Genomic DNA, 17,660 nt, shown 5'->3' on the forward strand with positions numbered 1-17,660 from the left:
GCTTACTGAGAGGTAGAGTCAGACATAAACAGAGAACTGGAAGTTCTTAATCTTCAAAGGAAAACAACCATGAAGCTAATGAAGCTTAGGCCTCACAGTTCCTCTCTAGCCCAGGTGTCTTCCAATATCTTGTGCCTAATTCTGTATCTGCAGTTTTATATCAGTTTACTTACATATAATTCTCCAAGTTTTATACACTTGAGCTTCACAAAATCTAGACGTGCCTCTCTTCATTGTCCTTTACCTCTCTGTAACATCCTGACCACATGTACTTCATCGACTTTTCTTCTTTAGCTTCTGGTGATGCCTCATTCTCTTACACTGTTCTCTCCCCTTCTCCAGCCATTCCCTAAATGAGAATATGGGCTGACATTAGACCTCAACCTTGTTCTCTCTACACTATCCCCTTATCAAGTTAGTCATTTATATCATCCTTACACGAGCAACTCCTAAATTTGTACTTCCAGCACTGATCTCTACCTCCCAAACATGGACAAAGAATTATTCCCCTCCAAAATAAAAAAATTTTAAATAAAACTCATGAGCAAAAGTGAAATGCATAAAAAGGGAAAGAAGTATATGCTTGACCCAGTCAAGGTTACTCATTGGCATGTTCTTTCAGCAAAGAAATAGAAGACAGCCTATCTTAACTATCTATTGCTGATAACTAACAAATTAGCCTGCATTTATCAACTTAAAACAACATTTATTATCTCGCGGTTTCTATAGGACAGCAGTCTGGATGAGGCTTAGTTAGGTCCTCTGCTTCAGGGTCATCCACAGGCTGCAATCCAAGTCTTGACAGGAGTTATAGTTATCTCAAGGCTTATGTGGGGGAAGGATCCACTTCCTAGCTCCCTCACATGGTGTTGCCTAGATTCAGTTCCTCTAAGGTTGTTGGACTGAAGGTCTCAGTTTCTTGCCAGCTGTTGGCTAGAGGCGGCTCTCAGTTTCTTCCCATGTGGACCTTTCCACAGGGCAGCCTACACCATGGTAGGTGGCTTCATCAGAGAGAACAAGTGAGAGGACAAGAGGGAGTGCCAGCAAGATGAAAGTTAGTCTTTCATAACCTAATCTTGAAAGTGACATCCATCACTTTTGCCTTATTGTATTGATAGAAGCCAATCCTTAGGTTAAGCTCACACATAAGGCGAGCAGCTTATACAGGAAGTGAGTGAGGAGGCAGGGTTATCTGGGAATCCATTTTAGAAGCACTCTACCACACAGCCCCTCTCCTCCAGGAACTCACAGTACAGCTGAGAAATTACCTGGAAAAGGCTGGAAATTGTATAAGTACCTGGAAAAGACTAAGGTGTGCTGGCCCCATGACCGTCAAGGTAGGTATATGTTACTCTATAGTTTAGTCACTGTGTCTCTATCAAATTGCGCGTAACACGTTTGAGATTGTCACTGGTTTTCAGTGTGTCTTTGAGATACATTTTATGCGGGTTGCTCTCCTCCCCGCCCACTCCAGGATAATTGCTTTAATAATAAAACATAAGCTTAAAAAGCTTAACTGCGCTGTTATGTAGTTGTCCTTATTAACGGCTCCGATTCTTTTTTTTTGCGTTACAGCTCATTGTAAAATATGGTGATTCAATTTCATTTTCCACTTTGCTGTGTTGAAAGCTCCAGCAAAACACTCCTCTTCATTAAACTAGGAGACACCTTTATCATGGTTTGAGTTATCTGCATGAATACAGGAACTCAAATTTCCCGACTCATCTACAGAGTTTTCATTATGCTATGGAATGAAAAAAAAAAAAAAAGACGCACTAGCATATTCTAATCTCTCTAAAAATTACTCAGTGATTTAATAAGTAGCACACAGACTTATTGTAATTAGTCATAGTAACGTAGTAAATCGTAATAAATACATAATTGTGATTAATGTATTTATTGGCTTACTTTGCACATACGGTAAATACACCACCCTTTTTTTTTTTTTAGCACAGGTAGGGGCTCCTGGCTGATCGTGGCCCTTTTGTGCAGTTCCACCCCGCACCGTAGGGGGCAGGAGCAGCCCTTCCTCGCTCGCGGTTTTCGACGCTGCTTTGGTCTCTGTCAGACCCAACCAAGTCAGTATAAAAGGGGGGAATAGCCATGGAGAAGGTAGGCCTGTGGCCGGGCTTGCTTTTTAAAGGGAATGCTCTCCTGGTGATTAGGAACCTTAAATCACATTATAAGTAGGTGAACGCCAATGCGTGGTGCACTGCGGGAAAACTCGCAGGGCCTGGCTCAAGGGAGGCCTGGCATTTTCTCCTCCCCGCGCTCAGGCGGAGAAAGGTGCGGTCCAACCCGCGGAGGCTCGACCCGGAAGCCGCCGTGGCCGCCGCACAAGCTGCGCTCGTCTCTCGGCTGGGGAGCTCCGTGTCGCACCGGGTTCTTGGGCTGGCCGTGTCCTTCTCCCTCGGTCGCCACTGGCCCATGAGTCCCCATGGCGACGGCAGGGGCCAGGCCCAGGGGCGGGCAGTCCGAGTGGGGCTGCGGCGCTCCGGGGGCATCCGCGGCGGCGTGGCGGTGTTCGCCGCCGTGGCCGCAGTGTTCACCTTCACCCTGCCCCCTTCGGTACCGGGGGGAGACTCCGGTAAAGTACTCGCAGGGTTGCCCCTTCTGTCCCTCTCCCCTGGTCCCAGAACGGGCAGGGTCTGCGTCTGGCCCCTGCTCTTGGCATTCGGTCTGGTCAGCTCTGGGCCTCCATCCACCCCCCTGTGCACAGCGCACTATTGTGTGTTCCAGAGCCCACTTCTGTTTCCATTCCTGTCGTTGTGGTTTCTTTAGTTCTCAGGTTTTCGAGATGGGGCGTATTGTTGGTTTCGCCTGGTGGGGCTTATCGACCTCTCCACTTCCCCAGATCTTTTATCCTGGTCCTGAGTATTTACTTTCAGTCTTTTTTAGTCCACAGATATTATTCACGGTGTCCTTATTATGTTTCAAACAAAAGAACAGTAGTGGCGAACAGATAATTGCTAGTGTTCCAGTGCGGTTAGACAATACACAAGTTAATGAATAAACAGCATATTCACTGGTGATAAGTTATGGAGACAGTAGGAGGGAAATATGATTGAGAGTGGGGGTAAGTAGTGGGTCCTTCCGAATGACTATTCAGGAAAGACCTCTGAAGAGGTGGTGTTTTAGTTGAAACCTGAATATTGAGAAGGAACTAGCCATGCAGAATATTTGCAGGAGAACTCTTAAAAAGGTGGAAGCCAGGTGCGGCTGTTTCTATGAAAAAGAAAAGCATGACTCATTGGCCCTTAAATCACACTAATTGTTTTGTATTTGATGCAAGAAACAAGATCCATGTTTTGTTTTTGGATTCAATAATGCCATATCATGGCCAGTAATTTTGTCAGAATAGTGCTGTAATTTCAGGTGGTGAACCTATGGACTGAAGAAGCAGTTTTTGCTGCATGACTAGTGATCCCCAAATTGAGCAGCTTAAACAGCAAACGTTTATCGTCTCCCGTTTTTGTAAATCAGGAGTCTGGGTGCCGTTTAAGCTAGATGCTCGTACTCAGAAAAAGGTTGCTGTCATGGTGTGCGATGGGGCTGCGGTCTTCTCAAGGCTCAATTTGGGGAGAAACGCAATCTAGTTCTTTGCTATGTGGGTCTCCATAAGTTAACTGACTTCTGTCAAGAAAAAGATGAAGGACACCTCTCTGTCTGACAGCTCTGTCATTTTGTAACCTAATACTGTAAGTGATATACCACTTCTGCATTTTATTCCTGGAACTTCGTCAGTAAACCCAACCCATATTCAAGGGGGAAGGATTACACAGGTGAGAATATCAGGACTTGGGGATTAGTGGGGATCATATTTAGGGCTGCCTACCACGTTGAAGATCTTTGATGTTACATCTTCAAATTGTTACCTTTCTTCTTTCAGGTCCTGTTGCACAAGTAGGGATAGTGTTTCATTCGTGTAGTAGGGAGTTTCTGTACAGTGTTACCAAGATTGGTATTTCATAATGGAAGTAACTTTATAGTTGTGAGTTTTGGTGCTGGAGAGCATTATTCAGAGGTTAGGTAGTTCTGTTACTTGTAAAAAAATAAAAAGATTGACAGCTACTTATGGTTGGTTGAGTGTGAAGGATGGGAGTGAGATTTATAATAACTGACGTTTGTTGGGCACTTACTATGTGCCAGGCACTGTTCCAAGTGCTTTATATGGGTTGTTGTTTTAACCCTCCCAGCTACCCTTAAAAGTAGGTGCAATTATTATTTTCCTTTTATAAATGGGAAAACTAAGGCTAAGCTATGCCCAAAGTCACACAAAGTAGAGAAATCAGGAAAAGAAAAGTATATTGACTTCAGAATATGCCCCCTTAACCTCTACTTTTCGTCAAAACATTTCATGAAATTCTTTTCTAAATCCACCATCACATATGTAGTGATGTTTAAAATTTATTTAAAATCATGATTATTGCCTTGCCTTTATTAATACTGTATTTTATTTTTTCCTAAAAGAATAAAGTTGTGTATTCACCTTGAGTTACCAAACTTTAGGTGCTTTAATTTTGTTTGGTTTGATGTTAAATAGTGGTTGCTTCTAATATTTTTATGTTCATTTTTGGGAATGATAAACTGTTTTCCAAGTATATGCCAATATGGAAAATTTGCTTTATCGTATATTTGATAATTGTGTTTACATGTTGAATGCACTATTCTTGAATGTTTATGAATTATATTTTCATCAATAAACAGAACACATCTCAAAACCAGTATAAAGCATGTATTCTTCTTCCTGATAAGTCTTACATTTTACTCCATAGATTCATCACATTGTGTCGTCTTGCCAAAATTATTTTTTGTACCACTTGACACACACAGTTCATTTATGGGCAGGGTGCTTGTGGTGCTTTTCGGGGAGGGGGTAGGAATCTGGCCTTCACTAAATTAGTTTGTACGTGAGTTTATTTCAAAGATACTGTCTTTAACAGATGTGATGTGTGACAGTCTAGTCTAATTAATATTGAGAAGTATGATATAAAGGGAGCTGGTTTTTGTAAAGGTTAAGCATCTGCTGACAACTCTGGGCTTGCCATTAGTTTGTATTGCAGACAACAAAGCCGTGGTTCTCAGACAGGAACGTACTTCAGAATTACCTGGGAAACTTGAGCCCCCAGTGCAAGTGGGTCTTAGTAGATTATGGAATTTGGAGGTGTGGGCAAGGAATCTTCATTTTTAAAAAGCAGGTTAATTCTGATGCAGGTAGACACAACTGAGGAACCTTTCATGTAAAGGGTTGGGAGAAAGCCAAGACTCGGGAAGCTCGAGGTTTTTTTACTATTCCCTTCCTCTTTATCACAATCAATTTAAGAGTAGTATTTCCCTTTAGATCTTTATCAAGGTTACATTTAGAGACGTTGAATGGGGACATCTTTTCTATTTCGATTTTAGTTTAACATTTGATAAGAATTGATGAAAGTTTGTCACATTCCAGATTTATCTTTATAGCAGCAGAAGTCTGGCAAATAATAACAGCACACTGACTTTTCCATGGTAAAAAGAAGTTAGAGAAAAACAGCCTATTTTTCTTAATGTTAAATGTAATTCTGAATACATTTTAAATGGAGGAGAATGAATAGTGACCTTTGAAATTTTGAATTTATGGTGGCTTCGTTACAAAAAGATTACAGGAACAAAAAAATCGAAAATAGTTTGGAGCTAAAGACTTAAGAGCTAATCCATTATGGAGTAAACTATAAAATCATATCCTTTACAGTAGTTAACAAAGGGAACAGTTGTTTGAGACATTGTGAGACCATAAACTATTTAAAAAGAAGCATTTAGGATATAAAATGTGCTGGTTTCTCAGGTGCTCTTGAATATCTCTTAACAAATGTCCTTAAGTAATTGACTTAATCTGTCTTCAGGTGCCCTTATAAGGCTTCCATGATGCAGTCACCTAAGACTGGGGTGTCTTAGTAGCAAGGATGACAATGTGATGTGTATTTTTGTTAACCTCTGTGTGTATGGCTTGAATTGATGCTTTGTGTGTGGCCAGAGGGGAGAGGTGGTGGTATCCTGGCACGATCGTGAAATGGATAGGATAATGTTTTTAAACTTAGTGGGAGAGAGAAATGAAAACCAACCAGAATATAAGGCCATCTAAAGTGCTAAATAGACTCAAGCAGGTTCTATGGAGGAGGAAGAAGTGATTAATTCTGATGGGGAGGCTGGGGAAGCAGGTGTCTAAGGAAAGGTTACCAAGAAGGTGGCAATTGAACTTGGCCTTGAAGGATTTAGGGGGAGAATGCTAGGGAAAATATTCCAGGGTGAGAAAATGAGTGAGAAGAGGTGCAAAAGAGGACCACTCCAGAGAAACAGTGGGTAATAAGATTTGACTGGAGGGAACATAGGTTTCATGGATATAAGCCTAGAAAAGGGACCTTGAAACCATAGAAAGCTTGAACGTCATGCTGAGGAATCTGAACTTCGTTCAGTAAGCAGAGAGCAGCCATTGAGAAATTTTAGACTAGGGATGCAATCCAGCCTTTTGTGTGTGTGTGTGTGTGTGTGTGTGTGTGTGTGTGTATGTGTTTAGGGGCATGGGGGAAGGCAGGTGTTGATTATAAGTGATTTCAGTATGAAGATGAATTGAAGTAGGATTGGTCAAGTCTGTTGCCATAGTCCAGGCCAGAGAGAGTAAAGGTCTAAATTGTAGCTGGGACAGAAATTAAATGCAGAGTATTGCTATCTATGAAAGGATAGGAAGTGGACAGTAGTACATTTCCTAATAGGTACTAGTAACTTTCATGAGTCATTCATCAATATTGATTCCTTACATTGTACGGTACTACAATGTACAGGGATGAGTCAGAAATAGTCCCTGTGCTCTGAATACGTAAAAGGTTAACAAATAGGCATCAAATTACTGCATCATAATTTTAGAAATAGTCACTAATGGTGAGGAACTATAAAGGACTATGTAAAGAATATTATTTAATGGTTTGAAAAAATGTCTTACAGTGAACCTTACCGAAATAACGTGGAGTTAATAAACACTTGGAAATCATTTAAAGATATCCAGTGCAATTAATGTGGAGAAGATACCCAAATGCCAGTTTTAGGGTAGTATGGGACATTTTATGGAGTGTCCAAACCTCAGATGTCTGCGCATTTTACCTTACTATAAGGTTGTATCTTTATAGACTTTCGTGCTAATTTCTTGAGGGATAATAAAGCATATTACACTAATGCTCCAACAGTATTTGTATATTTGCAAGTGGATACAACTTTCAAGAGGGAAAATAAGCATTTTTTAAAGACCAGAATGTACCTATATTTCCACTGACCACTTCTTAAAGACTATCAAAGATAGTTTGTTCAATAAGACCTAAAGGAGAAAATATTCTTAGACTATTTCATGCTGTTAAATCTCTACAGATTTACAGTTTTATCCAGTCAAATTAATGCAAAACCCCAATGCAAGCATTTGGATTTTGAAAACTTTGGAGGAGTGTCATTCTCTAATAGTAATTATTGGTTTTACATTATTTTTTCACAGGGGAACTGATCACAGCCGCACATGAGCTTGGAGTAAGTATTAGTTTTATTGTTTAATCAATGCTCTCATTAACAGTTTTAGGAATTAAGAAAGTTTAATTAAGCATGGAGTAAAGTAGATTAATTTATTTTCAAACCCCCGTTTTTAGTAACTTATAAGTACAGTACGTGACAATTTACTTTAAGTTTTAAATCCAATTAAACTAAATTATAAAGCAAAGCCTTTACTATATATACAGTAGCTGCCTTATTATCACCCCAAATTTTGTATAAGCTGTGGGGAATAAAATAAATCGGGTTAACAGTTTTAATAAGTTTATTATTTAATAAACTTTATTATGGTGCATGATCCCTTCAGGCAAGACCTTACGACTGTCAGCATGGTGGTAATCCGATAGCAGTGTGGTCTTTCAACTTTCTAACCAATACGATATTTCAGAACCTGCTTTTTTTCAATAGCCTTTTAAATGACCCTAATGTACTGTGAACCCAGAGAACAAACTGCTTAAGAACTGACAATGAAATATGTCACCCTTTCTCTGGGTGACGCACCATGTGATAGACGCTGCCAAATCCACTAAAGAAAATATTTATTTGTATTGCCTCAAGAGGATTACAATAGAAAACCACTATTCAAACATTTAGTCATTGGTGCCTAATCTTTATAGCTGCTTGAGAAAAGGGCTACTTTTCAATTAAGGCCTGTGGGACTCTTCCTTTCCTAGATGAAAACCTTCTAACTGTTGCTAATTTTTCCGTAGGTTGCCCATCCTCCTGGCTATCCTTTGTTCACGCTGGTGGCTAAACTGGCAATTACACTGTTTCCTTTTGGTTCAATTGCCTACCGCGTCAATCTTCTCTGTGGCTTATTTGGAGCAGTAGCTGCATCATTACTTTTTTTCACCGTTTTCAGGTAAAGTAGTTGATTAGTTAAAATTAATTTTGAGCAGTTGGAGATGTAGATTTCTTATGGCTCAAGTACATACATTAAAAAAATCTTTTGTTGCTTGGTTTCCCTAACACATGTGATTTCACTTTCTTAATTTATAATACTTTCATATGCATTTGACCCCTCAAATGATTACACAGTTGGTTTTGTTTCCTACAGTGGAGTGAAGGTGTCACCAGTTCATTATCACAGTTCTCTGATTAGGCAGAACTAATGAGGTTTGTCATTTTGTGAAGATGCAGATGGGCCAGTTTAATTCAACAATATGAGGTTCATCTTTTGGTAAATGGTAAATATCATTTAATTATTCACAGTATTGCTGACGAGCAGCTGCCTATCAGGTCCAGGGCTAATACCTAATTATATTGTATTCTAAATATGAACATGTTGTATACTTTCTGAAATAAGGATATTAACTAAGGAAATCAATTTGGGATGTGGTTTTAGTAAGGTTTCACTCTGCTCCGTTATGGCTGTAGTAAAGGTAGGCAAATTAGATCCCAAGTAATTCATTGATAGAAGACTTTCTTAGGTTGGAAGTCTACCCTGCTTTTAAAACATTGGTCATTAGTTTAGAATGCTGGTAACCCATTGTCTTTGATGTTCTGTCTCCTTCATTCTTAACTCAGTGCATCCTATACCTAAGAGGATTATAGTGAAAAATACAAATTACACTTTCTGCAAAAGGAAAAACCAAATTAAAACACTTCTTCTAAAAACTTTTGCATGTCTTACTATAAAACAAATGATTTCTGTAGGTAAATATAATTTGAATAGGTACAATTTCAAATGTCTTTTTTGGAGACCAATATTTTTATTTGTGTCAAAGTCATAATACTGCCCTTTAGCCAAATTCTAAATTCTCTTTTAATTATTTATAGAAAGATAAGAGTTAGTATAATTATAACTCTGAAGTTTACTTTTGATCTGTATGTGAAAAAACTTTCAGATTCAAGTATTGTAACTGTTGATCTTTTCCCAAATTGTTATATTATTAAATTTGTTATTTTAGTCTTTATGAAATATTTAAAATAATGTTTCTGCTTAGATTCATTAGTACTATTAATATTTTTCTTTTTCTCAATGGTTAGGATAATTTTTATTAGAATTGTTCCTTCTGAGTCTTTTGTAATTAATAATCTGTCAGTATTTCCACTGAGAGAAAAAGTGTTTTTTGTTTTTAAATATCTAGGTTGAATGGGAACTTCCTTGTTCTGTATTGAATGAGTATATTATTAATTTTCACAAGATACTTTAGAACAAAAACATTTAAAGAAGACTAATATATTCATTTTGATAGTCTGTATTTTAGATCATTTATGTAACATAGACATATATTTAAATGTTATATAGCTATAAATAGCTCTTTGTGCAAGTAAAGGGATTCATTTTCTAAAACTTTTCCATGTTTTTCAACATTATTAATTGTTGATACCATTCCATATGAGAACTACTGTAAGAATCGTAAATAAAAGTCTTAAAAATTTACAGAATCTGGATAGCTCTGGACAGTACTTTTCTTTAAAAATAGCTTTTATTAATTATTATGATTAATTATAATGGTTTAGATTAGCACACTAGCCTGTAACGCTTTTCTTTTAATATGCATGGCTAATGATATATTTTATACTTGCTGACATGTGCTTTAAATTGAATCTCTTAATATGACTAAATTAGGTATTTGAGTAGTTTTAATAATATAGTATGTGCTTTGGAAAAGTTGCTTTCTTTCAGAAAAGGGATCTAACAATATTATCTCTTACATAATTTTAATATGAAAATACTTCATTATTTTGAATACAAATAATTGACAAGGTACACGTCCTTTGGGAATAACCTAGTTCAAGTGGCAAATCTGTTTTGTCAAACAATAGACACCCTTCAAAAAGGAGAAGCCATCTCTATGGTAATAGGACTAACAGTAGCCTATTGATTGAGTGGAAGAAGACATTATACAATGTCAGCTGGCTTGTTACAATTTCATTTGTTGTATGACCTGAACTTAACCTTTAAAACCTTTCTTCTGTGAATATAAACCCAACAGCAGGACACAGTTTTTGTACAACCATTACAGTGATGGCTTTTTCCTGTTCCAGTGTACAATAAATGTGTTTCTTTGCAGCTTGACTCCCTTATCAGAATTTGTTTAGGAGACGTTTCACTACTTTATTCATTTACAAACCAAATCATCATTCCATTTTGTTGTTGAATATTGAAGGGTTTTGATCCAGGAAACAGTTTTATTCTTTCTTTCCCCCATCACTTAAGAGACCATTACTGTACACGTAGGATTAGTGCTGACTGGTGTGCAGTAAATTAATTCTTTTAACAGGTTTAGGTTTTTTTCAGGTAATTGTTCACATAGCATTCACTATATTTAGCTCTTGGGGTGGACATAAAGACCTTCTGTACCTTTTAAACAAAGATTTTATTTCAAAAGCAAATTTATGTTTAAATGTGTTGATGTAAAAAGCTCCATTTTTTTCAGTAAACATGACTTAGATTGAAAGACCAATTTATTCGTTGTTTCCAATTACTATGTAATTTTTGCTTTTCTTGCATCTTTCTCTTGCTTTTAAAAGCTGTAAGATGTCATTAACACTGCATTTTTTTGTCAATCTTTCCTAATGGTTGGCAAGAACTCATTTATATTTGCTTTGCTCTAATGTAGAAAGCATATGAGTAAAACAGCACATTGAAAGCCGTGTCACTGTAGTTTATTGAATTAAAAATAGTAAGATTGTGGCAGTTGTTTCTGTAAGTATTTATGTATTGTCCCCTTAAGGAGTATTTTTAAGCATGCATTATGTTAGGGGAGTTTAATCTAGTACATTTCATTTATATGAAATAGTATTCATTTTATTAATGTGTACATCTGTGTTTCTAAGGCTGTAATATAGTTAGTGGTTTCTGGGAACTGGGGTTTTCTTTTTTAAGGCTATTAAAGTAAATGATTTTTAGATTTAATAGCATAATATTTAAAATGCCCTATTCTATTTGAAATTCACAAATCCTATTAATATAAAATTTTAAAGTTATAGGTAATATAAATCATTAACATGAACACCATTTAACATTATTTAATGCTTGAATTTCAAAATTATTTTCTAGGAAATGTCAAACTAGGTCTTATTTACTGAATAAAGAAGGAGTACTGAAGTCACTATCATTAAACATCTATATTCTCATCCTTCATATGTTCCGGTATCACTAAAAGAGAAGGGAGCATGTTGATAGCATTGTATAAAAATTCTTTACCTCGGGGAAGATTTACATTGCTTATGATATCAGAGGAGGGTATATGTCGTGTCATTTATTTTGGTAGTTACAGTGCAGGGGATGTATTTTCAACAGGCCTGAGAGTCAGCCTATCCTTTTCAAACTATTGCCGGCCAAATGGAACTATAGAATTCATTCCACAATATTTGTTGAAGACTCATGTGAATTGAAAGTAAAGCTCTTATTTTTTATAATCAAAATTCAGTGCTTATTTTAAAGAAAGTAATACAAAGTTACTATTAAATAGGCAGTTTTTCAAATATTTTTTCAAAAAGGTGTAGTTTCAGGAAACTCACATAAAAATACTTCCTAACATCATTAATATTGTGCAGTAAGACATCAGCTCTCTTAACGTCAAGTAGATTACCTAGAATATAGGAATATTAATAATATTAAAGGTATATTGAAACTTTGCTTACTACAAAGAACGTACGATCAATTTCAGTAATCCTTAAATATCTTCTGGCAGATTGTTTTGTGCCAGTATTTAACTCATGGATTTTGTAATTTTATAACTTATATATTTTTAAACATCGTGTTGCTGCTAAAAATTAATTTGATTAAATTTTAGAAGGCGAAGACTTGATTCTGAGCACTGTGTCTGCTATTCTTAGAGCTTCAGCTAAGATTCCATTCAATAAAGAATAGAAAATTAAAATACCATACCTTAGAGAATGCGGAATCTCTTGCTTAAGGGACATTTGGATTTTCCAGCTCAAAGAGTATTTTAGATTATTGCCATAGAGAATAATGTGAAGCTCTTCCTAATTTCAGAAGTAACTATGCATAAGTAACAAATAGTTACCAAGTTTTTGTAGTTGAAGAAGAATGGAAAGTACTGGAGCGTTAATTTCCATTCAGGAGAATATCTGTCTTGATCCGTGGTTAATTGATCATATATTTCTCTCATACTTGTATTAAAATTGCATTGACTTAGACTGCTTAAGCATATTAAGAGCTTGGTTCATTTGCATTTTCTTATAAGTAGAGGGACATATTAGGCTCAAATAGCAGCGCTTCATTTTGAAGGGAAAAAAAGCAGGGCAAAAACTCTTTTTTAAGACTGTAGAGTCTTTTCTGACAGCTAGTCAGAGTTAGAATTAGTTCAAGGAAATGTTAATAATGCACTGCCTGGCCTAATCCCTTTGATATCACCAGGTATCCTCCTGTTCATGGGTTAATTGCTTTAAAAGCTAAGGCAATATTCTGAGCGGTGGGCCGCTTCACCTTTTCACAGCTGTTACCATTGAGTGACAACTAAATCCCATGTGTAAGATGAGGAAGAGCTCAATCTCCAATTGGGAGAAAATTTATGTAAACCACAATCCCTTCAGAATGTGCGGAAGTCATAGACTTTCTTGATTTACTCTGCTTTTCCCAGAAAGCTCTATTGTTCACTTTCCTAAGTCCCATCAACCCTTTGTAGCAGAATATCACAGCGGCAGCAGATAGCTTGAAATATATAAATGCTATCATAGCTCTGATTAATAGCAGTGCTTATGAGTCAAGTCTGATAACAGTGCAGCTCTCCACTCAATTTCAGATACTGCTAATGGAATCTGTCTTCTCCAATTGTAATATGAGAAGGCCTAATTTGCCATGGAGCTTGGAGCTGTCACCAGTAGGGGATTGTGGGGTCAGATGGGAGCTGCCAGGTTTTTGCCCTGCAGCTTGTATCTCTCACTTTGAATAGAGCAGCCCCCGCCTGCCAGTTAGCTGATAGGCCGCCGTGGGGTTTATGCCACTATATACAATAGGAAAGGGCTACATAGGCTGACTTTATAATTGTGAAGCTAGCTCATATTTGCACAGCTACTGTGCTGCATAATTTCTAATAAGTGGTTTTAACAAATGTCAGATTATGAAAAGTTTCCTCAATTACAAAAACTTAAAAAACATTTAAATTGCTAAATCTGTTTCCTGCCGAGATTTTGCCACTGGAACTAGTCATCAGTTATTATGGTTGTGATAATAAATGCACATATTTCTTTAAATTACAAATAAAATTATAGATCATAACTCATATAGATTTGGTGCTTTTCAGAGCCATAAAAATAGAAAATAGTCTTAATGAATTGAGATATTAAGATACACTAAATAACTTTGCATAAGACTACTTAATATTAAATCTGTATTGTTTATTAAGTTGGTTAGTATTGCTGATGAAAGTAGTTTAATACCCTCATTCTGTTGACTTTAGTTATTTGGATGTTCTGCCTTGACTTCCTATACTTTTAGTATCTTAACATTCTAAGAATTACGTAGCATCTTCTAAGTTTTCAGTTAGAAAGGACTTAGCGTGATGATATGCCTTGGCCGGTGCCTTTGAGAATACTCTGATGGAATATCCTTTTAACCAATTTCAGTCTTGCTCCTGAATGCAAAATACATTTTGAAGATTGAGTAACAAACTAATCTTGAGGTTTTATATGTTTTTATACATTTTAAACAAAATCGACTAAAATATGTAATTGGGGAGTTATTTTAAACCAGGCTGTACCATTGTGCAAGTTACCTGGCATACTGTGAAAACTTAGTAAAACGTGAAGTAAATTGCGGTTGTTCCTATAAAGCCTAGTTGAATGTTTTCTTCCACATATTCAGGAATAAGTTGATGGAGTATAATAAAATGAATTGTTTTAAACTTTAAATAGCTTTATCATTTAATAGCTAATGCACAACTCTTAATTCTAATGGAAATTTTGTGATTACATTTTATTTATGGGAGCTATTCCTAACCTTACTCCCTGCATTTTAGTTGTGCTTTTTTCCTTTTTGAAGGCTTTAAATTTTTTACTCTAATTTTATGTAGTGGTTTTGAATCAGGAATAATACTTTATACTTTCCTTTTAGAGTACTGGTAGTGAATATTTATATAGCTGAAAATTCTGGGTAAAACAGTTCTCCTTTTGATCAAACCTCATGAAGTAGAACTAACCTTAGTAAGTTTTTATCTGGAATGACAGTAAATTTTTCTAAAATGTGGAAGAAAGGACTTATTTGCAAATTCATTAAAGATGGAAATATTTTAAATTTTTTTAGGTTCAGTGGTGATGGCTTCACAGATGTACCTTTTATATCATGTCCTAAATTATTGATTTATGTTCTTAGGTCTAAACTTGACAATGAAAAGATTTATAATCTACTGCTCTTTCAGTGGCCTCATTATAATTTTCCCACAGAGTACCTGGCACGTGTTAGATACCCAGAACATGTTTGTTGAAAGAATGTTGAGTGAGCTGCCACCAAAAGAAGGAGGCTTAGCAGAACTTAGGTTTTCAGTAACTTAGCTCCCTAGTTTCACCATTCTCCAGGTAGACTGGAGAGAGAAATACATGGTGTTGATTATATGAATAAGCCTGAAGGGAACTTTTATATCATTTTCATGACTAGGACCCAGAAAGATAAGAACATGGAAGGATAAGGGTGGTAGATTTGCTGTTTATTTTATCCTCCTTTATCATACTTCTTCCCTGTAGTCAGCTGCACTATTTTAGTAGTCACTATGAATTGACACTAATAGTAATTTATTAAACAATAACGTTCAGATGCTGCACTGTGGTCTGCCCAGTCAAATTCCACTTCAAGTAGGAATTCTCAGTACACTCAGTATAGACGTAGGGCAGTGTACCTTCCGTGTTGGGTTCTTTGCATGCAAGTAGCACTGAAGACAAATATATTCATGAATTTTATGAGGCATGTCAAATGTGTGTTCGGAAAGAATTTCAGGTTTCTGTTATTTGCCTTTTGATTAAGGGTTAGACAAACATGTGACTACACATGAAAATCAAATACTGTGTAGTGGAAAGAAAAATATACCTTATCAATAGCAAACCTGTGTCAATGGTGTAAATTGTAACCTTGTGATTTATCCATTGTGTCAACAGATGAATAGTATTCCATCAGTGAGAAAACTACTATGCAATCAGTACCTTTCTTAGGAATCTTATCTGGGTCTCATGAATTTTGTGGACCAAGAAAAGAAGACAGTTATGGTTTAAGCAGAGAATTCTGTTGCTCACATTTGATGCTTAATAGCATCACATCATCCTTACTCCAGTGGAGAATTTCTGTCATTTGCATGATCTGGGTGAGATTTTAAACACTTGACTGCCCTTCCCATACTATCTGTCATACTCTTGGTGTGTCTTTTTTTGTTGACTAAACACTGTGCTCTCCTGGAATGTGAATTACGTGGTTTTATTATTAACCTAAGTAAAAAGCAATCAGGAAGATTTATCTACTTCAAACATACTGTAAAGTATATTTTTTATATAAAGTATAAAATTATTTATATAAAACAAAATGTACTTAAATGACTTTTGGATTTGATATTTTGAATAATCTATATCAGTGCTTTCCTCCGTTATTATGAGATCTTAGAATTAAGTTTACCTCTCTAACAGTGTCAAAACTTGATTTTGATTATTGGTATTGACAGGTGAGTGTCTTTTTTTTTTTTTTTTTTTTTTTTTTTTGAGACTGAGTCTCGGTCTGTCGCCCAGGCTGGAGTGCAGTGGCGGAATCTCGGCTCACTGCAAGCTCCGCTTCCCGGGTTCACGCCATTCTCCTGCCTCAGCCTCCCGAGTAGCTGGGACTACAGGCGCCCGCCACCGCGCCCGGCTAATTTTTTGTATTTTTAGTAGAGACGGGGTTTCACCTTGTTAGCCAGGATGGTCTCGATCTCCTGACCTCATGATCCACCCGCCTCGGCCTCCCAAAGTGCTGGTATTACAGGCGTGAGCCACCGCGCCCGGCCGTGAGTGTCTTTTATAATACAAGGGCTGTGTTATTAAAATTATCATAGTGGTGGTGGTTGAAGATTGTGATCTTTTCCTCATATGACCTAATATGATTTTTATCTTTCTGTAAGTCAGATTAGATGATTAAAATATGTATTTCATTTGAAGGAATACCTCATTTGACCTTGCTCTGTTTAGGCTTTGTAAGAATTAGATTGAGAATGGAAAACATTTTTTTCTCATATCTAATTTATCATAAAGTGTTCTCAAGTTAAAATAGAAAATAGTTTAAACTATTAGCGATATATCTGTGAGTTCTGGTGAAAAGAGTTCTCATTTATTCACAACCTCATTTGAATTTCTCTTTTGCTTTTAGTTTGGTTGAAGTAATAATCAATTTCAGTGGGAACAAAATGTCTTTTCACTTTAATGGGCTGATTTTAAGATTCTACTTTAGCATGTTATTAACTCCTTAGTTGCTTTTTTAAAATAATAAGCATATTTGTTCAAAAGAATAAAATGGAAATTGAAAACAGGTCTCCTGGATTGCCAAGTGAAAATACAATCATGTTTTTGATTATGTCATTTTTATTTGAAAAAATCATCAGACTTACTCTACGGGTAGATGACAATGGTTTGTCTGTCTTATTTTGGGTGTAGTTTTATTTACAGTTCATCTGCACTTTAGACTTTATGGATTATACAAGATAGCTTGTTTTGTGAGCTCAGATTAACAATTTCATTTAAATCTCCTATTTAAATAATGTCAGGTTGGACATTCCTTCCATTTATTTTTAAAAGAAAGATTACTTAAATCAGAAATTTGGACTACCAATTCATTTAATAGTATTGTATGCAAAAGATTTATGAATAATATTTTGCTCTACATATATAACTCTGCCAAAAAAATTTTAAATATATGTTGTAGTCTTTCCAGGGGAAAAATTTTTTATAGAGTATGTCTCCTGATTAGAGTTATTCCCAAAAAGAGATTGCAACTAACTTGCCTGATCACTCACTCACAGGTTCCCTTCATTGATAGCGATGATAATTGGCCAGGATCATAAGATAATAAAGGCCCCAGTGATCAAAAAGGATAGTGGATTAATTGGAAGCTCTAGGAATTCTGTAAACTCATAGGAAAATTGCTTTCTTTTAAACTCATAATAAACAGATGA

At 36.3% G+C, this 17,660-nt stretch overlaps 1 protein-coding gene across 11 annotated transcripts in view, besides 1 other annotated feature; it reads left to right on the forward strand.

Annotated features, from left to right (window-relative positions):
* Positions 1-2,037: 2,037 nt before the first annotated feature.
* The window catches only part of TMEM260 (transmembrane protein 260), an 83,641-nt gene continuing 68,018 nt past the window's right edge, over positions 2,038-17,660 (forward strand). For 7 of the 11 annotated variants that reach the window (XR_007064017.1, XR_007064018.1, XR_007064019.1 and 4 more), the window contains exons 1-3: positions 2,311-2,587; positions 7,514-7,545; positions 8,274-8,425. Coding sequence is in view for 5 of the 11 variants with exons in the window: in XM_011536851.3 (XP_011535153.1) it covers positions 2,428-2,587; positions 7,514-7,545; positions 8,274-8,425 (344 nt within the window). In the remaining 6 variants the exon portion in view is untranslated. Of the gene's footprint in view, positions 2,113-2,310; positions 2,588-7,513; positions 7,546-8,273; positions 8,426-15,627; positions 15,831-17,660 lie in introns of those variants that run through there. The other 4 variants (XM_047431493.1, XM_011536852.2, XM_047431494.1 and 1 more) reach the window with 3 other exon arrangements.
* Positions 2,379-2,598: a silencer, noted in NCBI's record as "silent region_5790". NCBI's record gives its function as "represses an Ori minimal core promoter by ATAC-STARR-seq in GM12878 lymphoblastoid cells {active_cell/tissue: GM12878}" and the evidence as "EXISTENCE:reporter gene assay evidence [ECO:0000049][PMID:35858748]".

The sequence above is a fragment of the Homo sapiens genome, chromosome 14 (genome assembly GCF_000001405.40).
Source record: "Homo sapiens chromosome 14, GRCh38.p14 Primary Assembly".
NCBI classification, from domain to species: Eukaryota; Metazoa; Chordata; class Mammalia; order Primates; family Hominidae; genus Homo; species Homo sapiens.